A 14,789-nucleotide genomic window follows, 5' to 3' on the forward strand; every position below is an offset into this window, starting at 1 on the left:
ACCATGTTGGCCAGGCTGGTTTCAAACTCCTTACCTCAAGTCATCCACCCACCCTAGTCTCCCAAGATGCCAGGATCATAGGCGTGAGCCACGGTGCCCGTCTTGTTTAATACATTTCTTTATTATTTATTCTTTGTTAATACTTATTGTTTACTTAATATATTTTATTGAATGTATCTGACTGTATTCAAAATATTACTAATACATATCATTTCAGTTTGCAATCAATATTTTAAAAGTATTAATGAGGCATTTTACATTCATTTTTTATGAAGTTTTCAAAATCCAGTGTATATTTTATATTTAATGGATCAGCTACATTTCCAGTGCTAAGGAGTTGCACGAAACTGTTGGTTTCTGTATAAGAGACCATGGGGGTAAGAGGCTTGATCCAACTCGGGGTAGATGTTTTTGACAGTAACTCCTGGAGGATAGTATGTGACTGAACCACTGGAATTGCTCAAGTCTAAACCTGCTTTTCTTTTTTTTTCAGGCTCTGTGTGCTCCGGGATGGAGCAGGTGTGCAGAGGGTGAGAACCCAGCTCTGGGACCAAGTCACTTGCTTCCTTACTTAGCAAGACTATCGACTTGAGCAAACTTGGACCTGGGATGAGGATGTCTGTGGGCCTCTCGCTGCTGCTGCCCCTCTCGGGGAGGACCTTTCTCCTCCTGCTCTCTGTGGTTATGGCTCAGTCCCACTGGCCCAGTGAACCCTCAGAGGCTGTCAGGGACTGGGAAAACCAGCTTGAGGCATCCATGCACTCAGTGCTCTCAGACCTCCACGAGGCTGTTCCCACAGTGGTTGGCATTCCTGATGGCACGGCTGTCGTCGGGCGCTCATTTCGAGTGACCATTCCAACAGATTTGATTGCCTCCAGTGGAGATATCATCAAGGTGAGACTGGATATAAAGCATAAATGAGGAAGAGTTCTCATTTTCCATTTTAGTTTTGGTGGCTTTTCCTTTTCAAGTCTAAGCTTCACCAATTCTGAGCTCAGTTCTTCCAGTACCCCCTTAGAAGAGGGACAGCCACTGATGTTCATAAGAGAATCCCTATATACTCAGAATAGCATCCTAAACTGTATTCTTGTTCCTATTCTGAGGGCATCACCATGTAATAGCCTTTACTCTGGAAGTTCTACTGAACACTGATTTAGGGATTTGTTGGAAAGGTCTGTCACGTGTATAGGGAAAGGTTACCTTTAATAAAACACAGAGTTAAACCCCAAAAAATAGGACTTTTATGCTTTGAACTTACTTTTTAAAATAAGATATAAATAAATATAGGAGTTCTGCTCTGATTTGCTGATGTATGTTGGCTAATGTAATTGATCACTTAAGAACCAAAATTAGTACCCAAACTTCAGCCTTGCCCCATATCCTTTGGAGAAGCCATCCAGAGAACAATGGAATCTGAGGCCCGTGTAGAGAAGAGTGTCTTGGTTGACCCAGGATAGAAATCAGGTGAAATAGGAAGCTTTTGTGTGATGAAGCACCATCTCTCTGTCTGAGTTTGTGGAACCATGGAATTTCCCCTAGATCTTAAATGAGTTTGTTTCATGGACAGGTGGGTGGGATGTACCCCTCAAGTTATGAACATCTTCTAGAGCAGAAGTCAGCACACTTCACCCAAGCTGGAGTGCACTGGCATGATCATGTCTCACTGTAGCCTTGACCTCCCAGGCTCAAGTGATCCTCCCACCTCAGCCTCCCAAGTAGCTGGGACTATAAGCACATATCAGCACACCTGGCTAATTTTTGTACTTTTTGTAGAGATAGGGTTTTGTCATGTTGCTCAAGCTAGTCTTGAACTCCTGAGCTCAAGCCATCTTCCTGCCTTGGCCTCCCAAAGTGCTGGGATTGCAGGCATGCACCACTGCACCAAGCTCCAGGCAGTAAATATTTTAGGCTTTGCAGGCCATATGGTTTCTGTCAGAACTCCTCGACTCTGCCTGTGTAGTGTTAAAGTAGCCTTTACAATATATAAATCAATGGGCAATAAAACTTTACGGTGGATACTTTTTCTTTTTTAATTTTTTACACTTATAGTCCCATTCTGACTTGAAACAGATTTTTGAATTTCATATGTCAAGAAAGAAATATTCTTTTACAATTTTTTTTTTTGAGGCAGGGTCTTGCTCTGTTGTTCAGGCTGGAGTGCAGTGGTACAGCCATGGCTCTCTGCAGCCTTAACCTCCCAGGCTTAAGCCTTCTTCCCTCTTCAGCCTCCCAAGTAGCTGGGACTACAGGTGTGCACCACCACACCCAGCTAATTTATTTATTTATTTATTTTTGAGACAGAGTTTCGCTCTTGTCGCCCAGGCTGGAGTGCAATGGCACAATCTTGGCTCACTGCAACCTCCGCCTCCTGGGTTCAAGTGATTCTCCTGCCTCAGCCTCCTCAGTAGCTAGGATTACAGGCGCACGTCACCACGCCCAGCTAATTTTTAAATTTTAATTTATTTTAATTAATTAATTAATTTTGAGATGAAGTCTCTCTCTGTCACCCAAGCTGGAATGCAATGACACAATCTCAGCTCACTGCAACCTCCATCTCCCAGATTCAAGTGATTCTCCTGCCTCAGCCTCCCAAGTAGCTGGGATTACAGGTGCGCACCACCATGCCCGGCTAATTTTTGTATTTTTAGTACTGACGGGGTTTCACCATGTTGGCCAGGCTGGTCTCAAACTCCTTATCTCGGGTGATCTGTCTGCCTCAGCCTCGCAACACCCAGCTAATTAAAAAAAAATTTTTTTTTAGTTTGGGCGTGATGACTTACACCTGTAATCCTAGCACTTTGGGAGGCTGAGGGAGGCAGATTGCTTGAGCCCAGGAGTTTGAGACCAGCCTGGGCAACATGGTGAAACCCCAACTCTACAAAAAATACAAAAATTAGTTACAAAAAATTTTTTTTAGATAGGGTCTTACTCTGTCTGCCAGGCTGGTCTCAAACTTCTGGTTCCTGCCCTACAGCATTCCTTCTCTAGAGGTGTGGCCTACATGTGAACTAAAAGTATTCTGAGACCTATACTTTGTTAGGTATTTTCTGTATGATCTCTGCATTCAGACTTCTACATACATTTAGTGCTCTGGCTTTCTGTTGGTGTGTTTAAACCACCAAAACAGTGGTTTAACTCAACCAGCTTGTTTTACTCAACATTTTTTGGCCAGGAATTCAGAGATAAGGAACCTTATCTCTGTTTCACATGGTACTAGGTAGAGTGGCTCACCTGGGGCTGGGGAATTCACTTCTAAGTTGGCTCATTCATGGCTGGCAAGTTGATGCTGCCTGTTGACAGGGAGCTTAGCTGGGGCTGTTGGTCAGTGTCCTTGATTCCTCTTCATGTAGACCTCTCCATGGGCTGCTTAGGTGTCCTCAAAGCACGATAGATGGATTTTAAGATTAGGTATTTCAAGAAATAGGAAAGGAAGCTGCCCAATCTCTTAAGGCCCAGAACTTGCCCAACAACACTTCCATTTTACTCCATTGGTCAAAGCACATATAGACTCTGATGGGTGTTTACCAGCTTGCCCCCGTGACCCGTAAGCCCCAGGCTTCTAGATTAGAAATGGCCACAAGTTCTATGCCACTCTTTCCTTGCAGAGGTGAGTCTGTGCCCTTTTCCCTGAATCTGGGTGGACCTCCCCTTCAGCCTGCTCCCTTCTTGTGTTCGCCTCCTTTTCCCTGTTGGTCACCTTCTTTTTAAGCCGTGGCTTGTTCTCAGAGTGACCTTGTGGTCTCTGGGGCAACCGTATTTCTGAAGATCTTGGCCCATGTAGCAGCTCACATGTAGCAGTTCACAGAGCTCTTCCTAGTTTGCAGAGTGTTTGCATAAAGTTTCCTTGTCATCTTTGTAATATCCCAGCAAGCTAGATGCTAATCTGACCATTAGATACAGAGTGGTGGCTCTGGAAGGTACATTTCTTGCTCAGCTTCAGATTTAATCCTGAATATCCATACCCTGCATTGGTTGCCTTTGTTCCAGTAGCCATTGGAATGTTTTACGTGGATTAATCTTGGCCAGAAGTGCCTTGAACTGATACAGCAAACTAGATATTTGTTGTATTTGGCAGAGAGATGTTTAACAGGCTTATTTACCAAGGGGGTGAAGAGATTTTACTGAGAAAACAGGATTTTATCTGAGCATATTTATCTGTGGAAAGCAGACCATTTAGTAGCTGATGAGCTTGTAGAAAAACAGATGAAGATGTGTGACTCTTCGTTCCAGTCTTAACCACCGGGATTATATGGGTTGGGGAGTCAGAAGGTCAGAAAGCCTGATCTTGTTCCTAGAGCTTTGGTTTCTGCATCTGTAAAGCAGGATTTAGAAAGTCTTTATATTAAAGGAATTTTTTTCTTATTATAATAATGATGCATAAATGTACATTGTGGAAAATATAGAAAGGGAAAAAAAATCTGTGGTTTCTACCATTCAGAGTGAAGTCCTCTACCGTTTTCTATGCTCATCAAGAGATGGTCATGCCACATACACACACAGACGTCTTAACATATTAGACAGACCTAGGATCATAGTGGATATATTTTTTAACCTTTTTTTTTTGAGACAGAGTCTCACTTTGTTGCCCAGGCTGGAGTGCAGTGGCACAGTCCCGGCTCACTGCAACCTCCACCTCCCGGGTTCAAATGATTCTCCTGCCTCCATCTCCCGAGTAGCTGGGACTACAGGCATGCGCTACCACACCTGGCTAATTTTTGTGTTTTTTTGGGGGGATGGAGTTTCGCTCTTGTCGCCCAGGATGGAGTACAATGGCGTGATCTTGGCCTACTGCAACCTCCGCCTCCCGGGTTCAAGCGATTCTCCTGCCTCAGCCTCCTGAGTAGCTGGGACTATAGGCTTGAACCACCACTCCTGGCATATGTGTGTGTGTGTGTGTGTGTGTGTGTGTGTACACATACATAGACACACACACACATATATATATATTTTTTGAGATGGAATCTTGCTCTTTCGTCCAGGCTGGAATGCAGTGGCGTGATCTCAGCTCAGTGCAACCTCCGCCTCCTGGGTTCAGGCTATTCTTCTGCCTCAGCCTCCTGAATAGCTGGGACTACAGGCATGCGCCACCACACCCGGCTAGGGTTTCACCATATTGGCCAGACTGGTCTCAAACTCCTGACCTCGTGATCCGCCCACCTTGGCCTCCCAAAGTGCTGGGGTTACAGGGGTGAGCCACCTTGCCCAGCCCACGTTTTGTATTTTTAGTAGAGATGGGGTTTCACCATGTTGGCCAGGCTGGTATCAAACTCCTGACCTCAGGTGATCTGCCTGCCTCGGCCTCCCAACGTGCTGGGATTACAGGAATGAGCCACTGTCCCGGGCCTATTTTTTTTTTTTTTTTAACATTTTTCATTCACTGTAGCTTGAGTATTTTTTTACCTGTAGTCATTAAATGTTATGTGGGAATGTAACTTTTAATGGCTGCCTAATATTCTTGTGTTGTTTTTTTTTTTTTTTTGAGACAGGGTCTTGCTCTGTTGCCCAGGCTGGAGTGCAGTGGCACTATCATGGCTCACTGCAGCCTCCACCTCCTAGCTTAAGCAATCCTCTCACCTCAGCCTTCCAAGTAACTGGGACTATAGGTGTGGGCCACCACACCCAGGTAATTTTTAAATTTTTTTGTAGAGATGGGTCTCACTTTGTTGCCCAGGCCGGTCTTGAACTCCTAGGCTCAAGTGATCCTACTGCCTCAGCCTCCCAAAGTGCTAGGATTACAGACATGAGCATCACGCCCAGCCTGCCCACTATTCTTGAGTGTGTGAGGAACATTTCAGATATTGGTCCTAAGGATGCTTGTTGAGGCGACCCCAGTCATCTTGGGCCCACTGGTACTGCCCTTCATCCAAGCTACTGCTTGCTTACTTCTTCCTAGGCTCCCCCTGCCTTTGTTCTTGACCTCTCAATTTGTTCTCCATATTGAGTCAAGAGATGTCTTTATCTTTCTAAAGCTTAAATCTATTCAAAATCCCTTTTTACTGAGCTGCACCAAGAATCGAACCCCATATGATCTGGCCTGTGACCTCCTCTCCCACATCTTTTTCTTTGTATACTTTGTCCCAGCCACACTGGTCCTTTTCTGCCCAGTGAACACACCTAGCTTAGGGTCCACCCCAAGCTTTTGATTCTTTCTTCTTTTGTCATGGGTACAGCCATATCTTTCAGGCTCAACTTGGACATCATCTGTTGGAGCCCTTTCCTTCCACCCTGGTAAAAGCAGCTTTCCCACAAAACTCTGTGTCATCTTCTTCTTAGCAGATTTCTGTATTTGAAATTCTTGTTTTTTGTTAGTCATGTTTGCCTTCCATCACATAGTAGGCCCTCAAATGTTTGTAGGCTGGCAAAGGGAATGAGGACTCATTTAGCACCTGCAAACCTGTTTTGGATTGTCAAAGCCTGCCTTGCTGTATGCAGGGAGAAATGCTAGCCTGTGCTGGGGCAGCAAGAGACTAAGTTCACCTGCTGCCCCACAGTGTACTATGGTCTTGCCGTGTTTTGAGGCCTCAGGCCCTGTGACACACACACTTTCAAATGACTTCTTGTTGTATTTTCACATTGGAAAGTGGCCCCACCCTGTCCCTCTAACACTTGACTGTGTGTTTATTGATCCATTATTAGTACAAACTCACTGTTTCCTAATATTCAATAGTTTATTGCTCATCTTAATTATTGTGGTGTTCAAATTGTCCCAGATTTGACCATTGGGAGCCCCTTTAAGTTGGTTCCTGTATTCTTGTGATATGCCCCTGTCAATCATTAAGTGCTTCCTTACTTTCTGGGATAAGATGCTCCAGGCCTGTCTTGTATTCACCCTCCCTCAGCCATTTCTTCAAGGAGCCTGATTCCTTTTTGTGGTGAATGTTATTGGGGGTTCAGATCTGGGTGCTAGGTGAGTTCATTGCCACTGGGATTTCCTTGCTTCTTTGAGCCGTTCAGCAGATAGTGTGGCTCCATTTTTAGATGACAAAGTGGTAGCTAAGTGACTTATCTCGGAGCACATAGCTTGTAGGGACAGAGTTAGTTTGTAGGGAGCACCCAAGAGGCTTTTTTTTTTTTTTTTTTTTAATTGAGACGGAGTCTCGCTCTGTCGCCCAGGCTGGAGTGCAGTGGTGCTATCTCGGCTCACTGCAACCTCCGTCTCCCAGGTTCATGCCATTCTCCTGCCTCAGCCTCCTGAGTAGCTGGGACTACAGGTGCCTGCTACCATGCCCGGCTAATTTTTTGTATTTTTAGTAGAGACGGGGTTTCACTGTGTTAGCCAGGATGGTCTCGATCTCCTGACCTTGTGGTCCGCCCGCCTCGGCCTCCCAAAGTGCTGGGATTACAGGAGAGAGCCACCGCACCCAGCCCCCAAGAGGCTTCTTGAGCCTGTAGTATATAAGGTCTTATCTTCAGGTAACTGACCTGTGTTTATTTTGTGTGTCAGCATGCTTTGGAATTATAATTTAATGCTTTGTTCTAGTCAGTTTTAGAAGACTTCCCTCGTAGTTGTCTGTTACCGTGCCTCTGACCTCTGACACTGCAGGGCTGTGGAAGAGAGAGACACACTGGGTATGCCTTGACATGGATGGTGTCACATGTGATGAGACGGGTTTGTACAACCTGCCATGCATGTGGGCATCTTTGAGCCAGAGCAGAAGCTGACCTATCATTGGGCCCAAAACTGATTGCTAAGTAAATGGCTGGTTTACAGTTCTGGCTTTTGGAATGAAGGCTGCAGGACCACAGGTTTGGAAGATCAGGGCCAACCTTGATGAAAGTGAAAGGAGAGTCTGAGTGAAAGGTGATGTCTGGCTGGTAAGCTATCATTGTTCCCTGTGTAGGGTTCTAGATACTTGGCATAGGACCTGTTTCGAAGTAGATGCCTAATTAAAGGCTTGCTATGTGATAAAGCATTAACAGAGGTGGAGCAACAACGGTAAGACATGTGGGACAGTGGTGGGTTGCAGAGCTCCATGTGGGGAATTTGAGAAGTTGTTGGGAGCACATGGAGTTGGGCTCCTCAGCAGAGAAAGGCCAGTGCCCACATGTGGCAGGGTTGTCAATTTGAGTGAAAGTAAATGGAGAGAGAAGTGGGTCCGTAAGGGGCTTTTCAAAGGCTTTCTTCCCCAAGTATCAGAGGAAGAAGAAGCTGGTGAAGAACTGAGGTAGGAGGTACTGAGCCTGGCCTGCTTCCTCCTAAGCCCCATGTGGGATGTCCAGATGAGGGTTGGTCTATTTGGGCAGGGCTGAGTTGCCAAATGAAGACTCAGGTGGAACGTGATCTGCATGGTCTGTCCCAAGACCTGGTGAGATTAGATGGCATAGTTGTCATACTTGCTGATTGGTTAGGGGATATGCATGGGGGTTGACGGTAGAATAATCCAGTGTTTATAGCACACTTAGATGCTGGTCTGTTGAAGGGCTAGAAAATTAAGTTCTCATTCTAAGTGAGCTGTGTTGACTGCCTGAAAAGCCTGGCCTGACCTGTGTGGGCTTCTGGTTACTTTATTTCAGGAGGTTGTGCTGCCTGGTGTCAGTCTGTTGATATACCCAACAAAGCGCCTGAAGCAAATGCTTCGCTACATTTTATATTGGTGTATACTTTACACGTCAGTCTGCAGGGTCAGGAGAATAAAGAAGGGACCTGCCTGCGCAGAGGGTATAGCCCCAAGATCCTGGCTCTTCTGCTCTGCCCCACACCTGACACTCCTTCATGTTCTGACAGCTCTTGTCCAGTCTCAGCCTGGCCAGCACTTGTTGCTTAACCAATGCTGTTCTCCAGTTCTGCCTTGAGAATTGATATTCTGTTATTGACCCCAGCTTAACTCACACATGGACTGCTTTGACCAGACGTGTGAGAAGGGGCTATGGGCTCCCTCAAGGTCCTCATGGCCAGCATAGCTTTTTTGAGAGACCTGTGCCATGGGGCCCCTGTCTCCTCTCTTGTGGCCTTAGGAAACCCTAAAGCAGATAGTCTTGATGTTTGCTCCCTTGAATCAGACTGGATGCCTGTATACAAAGCTCAGCCCAGCTCTTGACTGTCCTTGGCTCTCACAGCTACTTTTGGAGCTGAGAGGACCCTTTCTCCTTATCAGGGTCTGTGGGGATGGGTCCCACAGAAGCCAACCTGGCCTTCACTCAGTGGATCCTGGCCTGTCCTGGGCTGGCAACAGTATGAGCCACCCTTGTCTCCCTTGGGTTTGGTGCTGGATCCCTGCAGGCACCTCTCCTCTGACTTGAGTGTGGGACTGGCTGAGAAATGTGATTATATGCCAGGAGATGTTCTAACCTCTCCTCGAAGGTGGTCAGGGAGAGACATCTTTACATTTCATGAAATGCCCAGGCTGCCCCTCAGATGTCTCATTTTGGTAGAGCCTGCAAGGATGGCTTTTCATCCCTGCTTCCCTTTAGCCTTCTTGCCTGCAGACAATGTGGACCTTCCCTCAGCCCAAGATGTTGGCAGGCTGGGAGCAGCCCTTCCTGGGACTGTGCTCTCAGCTGCTGGCACGGGCCCCCAATTGTTCCCCTGAGAACAATGGGCACTCTCTTTGGCTAGGAAGGGGAGTTCATGAAAGGAGCATTTCTTTGGATGCTTGAGAGCTTTGTGGCAGCCCCGCCTGTGTGAGATGAGCTGCAGTTTCTTCCTGCCTTGAGTGGGTGTTCCGCATTTCTGAATGGACCCCTTGTGAACAAAGCACACCGGGAAATGCGGGTTGGCGATGGAAGGCATCCTTGGGGGTGGGCTGTCAGAATGGCATTTGCCCAGATTCATCAACTCAAATACTTAGTGAAAATATAGGCTTCTATGTTTAAAAAAATCACTGACAAAGACTGAAAGAGAACATGACAAAGTAAAATAGATGATGTCAGGGCTCCAGATTGAAGGACTGATTCTGAGGATTTTATTAGTGGCTCTAACTATGTTAAGCTGCCCTTTACTTTTTTGGGGAAAAAGACTAATTTTTGCTTTTAGATGAGAACAGTGAACATGAGATAAAATGCTTTGTAGCTCAGACCAGAAGGGCATTGACTGGGCTGAACAGTGTGTTCAGTATTGATCCTGTGGCGTTGGTGTTTGTGGCAGGGGCCAGGTTCTGCTTTGAGGTTTGCATGTCTAACAGCAGGACCAATGATGATCCCTTGTGGGTGTGACTCTGCTAAGGCCGCATGTACTTAACTTCCCTCATGATTTTTTACCTCAGGTGGGGACAAAGGCCTGGCCCTCTGACCTTAAGCTAGAGGCTCTTCCTGTTGGTCTGTGCCATCTCCCTGCAGCACAGCCATGTGACTGCCCATGTTCCTCATTAGCAGAAGGCCACAGAGCAGATTTATCTCATTGTCTTAGTCCATGGCACAGACACAGGATAACCCTGAGTGTGAGTCAGCACCAAGGCTGATACTCCATCAGAGGGTCCATCTCCTGCTTCCCTGAGCAGAGGACACACAGTCAGCTTGCAATGAGGAGGCCTTGACTGCCTCATGTGGGAGTGCCTCCAGGGTGTTGTCTATGGTACCCAGCCATAGATGGCTGCAGGTTGGCCCAGCTCTGCAGCCTGACTAGGGATGAGGGAGCTGAAAGGTCGGGAATTGATGACCAGGTCTGAAGGAAAGCAGGGACTTTGCCAACGCAGGCCTCTGCAGGTCCAGCATTGGGATGTCACGGGGCAGCAGTCTGTATCACTTTGAAATGGATCTGTTGGGGGACACGGGGAAGGGCCCAGCCCACACCTTAAGGGCTGACATGTCCAGAGGTATTGATGGAAGGTGCCACCACCAAGGCCCAAAGTTCCCTCCAAAAGATTTGTAGTGAGAAGGAATGCTCACCAAATCAGTTTCTCGATTATGTTATTCTTAGGATCCCTCTTTACTGGCCATCATCAGCTGTGAAAGTGCTCGTACATCTGTCTAGAGTCTTTGCTTGCCATTTCTAAGTCCTGCAACTCCTGCATGGATAAGACATCATCTTGTGGGCCCTGAATGATACAGCTTGTGTTTTCTTGGTTTCATAAGCCAATTATAATTATTTGGCCCTAGAGAGAGCCTAATTCTTCAGTTTTGTTTTTCAGCTATGCATAACTGACTCAGACTATGGGTGGAAACCTGCTTTTATGAGAACTAAGTAATAGAAGCTCCTCCAGCCATTTGCTCTTTCTTCAGGTGTGGAATGGTACTGGCTTGGGGTGAGAGACTTTGCTTGAGTTTCATGGTGTTTTTTTTTGTTTTGTTTTTTTGTTTGTTTTTGTTGTTGTTGTTTTTTGAGACAGAGTCTCGCTCTTTGCCCAGGCTGGAGTGCAGTGGCGCGATCTCGGCTCACTGCAAGCTCCGCCTCCTGGGTTCACGCCATTTTCCTGCCTCAGCCTCCCAAGTAGCTGGGACTACAGGCACCCGCCACCACACCTGGCTTATTTTTTTTGTATTTTTAGTAGAGACGGGGTTTCACCGTGTTAGCCAGGATGGTCTCGATCTCCTGACCTCGTGATCCACCCGCCTCAGCCTCCCAAAGTGCTGGGATTACAGGCGTGAGCCACTGCGCCCGGCCGTCTTTGTTTTTTTGAGACAGGTCTTGCTCTGTCACCCAGGCCAAGGTGCGGTGGCGCAATCATAGCTCACTGCAGCCTTGACTTCCCCAGGCTCAAGCAGGCTTCCCACCTCAGCCTCCTGAGTAGCTGGGACCACCACGCCCAGCTAATTTTTCTTTTTTGTAAAGACGACGTTTTGCCGTGTTGCCCAGGCTGATGGTGTTTAGTGCCTACAGGTGCTGTATCTTTATCAAAGTCAGTGTTTGATGGTCTATTGTGTGCAGAGGGCATCAGTAAAGCAGCTGGAGGGAGTGTCCCAGAGACTGAGGAGTGACCAAAATGTTCAAATTTGGCAGTTCCCTGGTCATTGGTCATGGTGATTTATTGTGGGCATCACAGTTTTAGACCTTTGTTTTTTTTTTTGAGATGGAGTCTCGCTCTGTCGCCCAGGCTGGAGTGCGGTGGCACGATCTTGGCTCACTGCAATCTCCACCTCCCGGGTTCAAGCAATTCTCCTGCTTCAGCCTCCTAAGTAGCTGGGATTACAGGTGCGCACCAACATGCCCGGCTAATTTTCTTTTTACTTTATTTTATTTTTTTTTGAGACAAAGTCTCACTCTTGTCCCCCAGGCTGGAGTGCAATGGTGTGATCTCGGCTCACTGCAACTTCCGCCTCCCGGGTTCAAGCAATTCTCCTGCCTCAGCCTCCCAAGTAGCTGGGATTACAGGTGCCTGCCACCACACCCAGCTAATTTTTTTGTATTTTTAGTAGAGATGGGGTTTCACCATGTTGGCCAGGCTGGTCTTGAACTCCTGACCTCAGGTGATCCGCTCACCTCAGCCTCCCAAACTGCTGGGATTACAGGCGTGAGCCACTGCGCCTGGCTTTTTTTTGTATTTTTAGTAGAGATGGGCTTTCACCATGTTGGCCAGGCTGCTCTTGAACTCCTGACCTCGTGATCCACCCGCTTCGGCTCCCGAAGTGCTGCGATTGCAGGCTTGAGCCACCACGCCCGCCCCCCTCCCACCCCTTTTTTTTTTTTTTAAGACTGCATCATGGTATGTTGCCCAGGCTGGGCTCAACTCCTGGCCTCAAGTGATCCTCCCGCCTCAGCCTCCTGAGTAGCTGGGGTTATAGGTGTGAGCCACCATGCCCAGCTCAGTCTTTGGAACTTTTTGTGGATCTGCCCAGGTTTTGTGGTTTTGATTCTTAATGTTTTGGGATGCACTTTGTGGGTCAGGATTTCAGAAGCTGGTTATAGGCTTTTCAAGATCTTTTTTTCCTTAATGCTAGACTTACTTTCTATCTCAGAAGCACATCGTCTCTAAGGGTTGCCGAAACCAGAAAGTTTTCTGGCCTTTTTGGTGGCCTGTGAGCTACAGCCTGTGATCTCCTTAAATCAGGCTTTCTTGGGCAGTTTCTGCCTCCTGCAGATGTGCCTAGTAACTGTCTGAAGGCTTCTTTCAAGACAGCAACTGTAAGGTCAGCAGGCCTTGCCTCTCCCAGCTCCAAGGCAGTGTTGGTGTTTGGTGTTGGCTGGTAGAGAGACCTGAAATGCTGGAGGAGTTCCACGGTGGGACCAGCTTGTCACCCCAAACTCATGTGCCTCTGTGCCTCTGCTGCTAAGGACCTCAGAGCCCCAATTCCTGCCTCTTTTCTGCCCTTCCTGGCCTGGCAGCCCTTAGAGGATTAGTTGTGGGTGGCTGTGGTATAGTAGGCAGAAATCTTTATACCAGGCAAACCAAGGACTCTAAGGATAGTCAAAATCCCATGTGTAAATGTGCCAGGATCTAGTGCACCCATTTTATTAATTATAGAGACAAAGTCTCACTATGTTGCCCAGGCTGGTCTTGAACTTCTGGCCTCAAACAATCCTCTCGCCTTGGCCTCCTAGAGTGCTGGGATTACAGGTGTGAGCCACTGTGCCTGGCCTAGTCCACCTGTTTTAGGTTGAAGAGGTGAAAGCAGGTCTTTGGGTTCTCACCTGCAGCAGGTCCCCCACTTCCCCCATGCCCCTTAGTGTTTTCATCTACTTCTGGTAGACAAGTGTTGACAGGCAACTCTCTGAGCTTCCCCAGCCTCAGCTTTGTTTCTCTATATGATTTTGGCTCCCTCATTGCCTGTTGCCTCCCCACTTACCTTAGATGCTTTGAGCTTCTGTTTTGTGGTATGAACAGGGAGACAGGACCCCACTGTGCACTGGGTCCAAGGTCAGTTGGGAAGGAGAACTAGGGAGAGGAGCCTGGACATGCCCTGGGCCCCTTTGTGCAGTAGCCTCAAATTACTTACTGGTTCTTCTCAGAGCCCATGGGAGCCATAGGAACCATTATTGGCAGAGTCCATCATGTGCCTGGCACTATAATCATATGAGGTTGGGATTGTTTCCCTGATTTTACAGATGACACTGGGGCCAAGGTTGGGTCAAGCGCCAGCCAGCCTGGAGCTGGGATTCGCAGTGAAAGATGGGCCTTCTCATGGAGTAGAAGAATGAGGATTGTTATCCCCATTGTTATGGGGATGAGTCCTGGCTTGTCATTGGGCTGCATCTGTGAGAAGGAACTTTCATATCCTGTTTCACCCTTAGGATCTGAGAAGAAGAGAAGTGATCCAGAGCCTATAAGTTTTGAAAGCTGAGGAGGTATCCAGAGTTCCCGTGGACTGAGGGCCTCCTGCTTTGTTAGGGTAGAGCAGGTGCTTTATCCCCTAGCACCTCCGGGATGAGCTAAGCCCTGAGCTGAGTCCCTTTGGGAGGGTGGGGCTCCTAGTGGAATCCTTTGGGGACTGTGGACACTGCCAAACCTTCAGGCATGTTCAGACTTTCCAGGTAGGGGCTTTCCCCAAATGGCCTTGAAAATGCAGAAGTGCCAGTGTGCCTGTGACTTGGCCAGGTTCCTTGTGGAAATTAGGTTTGTTTTGCTTCCTGTAGCCCTTCTATTAAAATGAATCATGGCTGGGCACGGTGGCTCACACCTGTAATCCCAACACTTTGGCAGGCTGAGGCAGGAGGATCACTGAAGCCTAGGAGTTCAAGACCAATCTGGACAACATAGGAAGACCCATCTCTACAAAAAAGTAAATATTGGCCAGGCCTGGTTGTACACACCTGGCTCAAGTAGTCCCAGCTATTCAAGAGGCTGAGGTGGGATGATCACTTCAGCCCAGGAGTTTGAGGTTGCAGTGAGCTGTGATTGCACCACTGCACTCCAGTCTGGTGACAGTGAGTGAGACCCTGGCTCAAAAAAATGTATATTTAAGGGCTGGGCATGGTG

The 14,789-nt window shown here is 47.5% G+C and overlaps 1 protein-coding gene across 55 annotated transcripts in view; it reads left to right on the plus strand.

Annotated features, from left to right (window-relative positions):
- Window positions 1-14,789, plus strand: part of DAG1 (dystroglycan 1) — a 66,668-nt gene that overhangs the window by 40,978 nt on the left and 10,901 nt on the right. For all 55 annotated transcript variants that reach the window (XM_047447546.1, NM_001177643.3, NM_001438888.1 and 52 more), the window contains one exon: window positions 494-894. In XM_047447546.1, coding sequence (XP_047303502.1) covers window positions 610-894 — 285 coding nt within the window. In that variant the 5' untranslated portion in view covers window positions 494-609. The remainder of the gene's footprint in view (window positions 1-493; window positions 895-14,789) is intronic.

This window comes from Homo sapiens, chromosome 3 (genome assembly GCF_000001405.40).
Source record: "Homo sapiens chromosome 3, GRCh38.p14 Primary Assembly".
Lineage (NCBI taxonomy): Eukaryota > Metazoa > Chordata > Mammalia > Primates > Hominidae > Homo > Homo sapiens.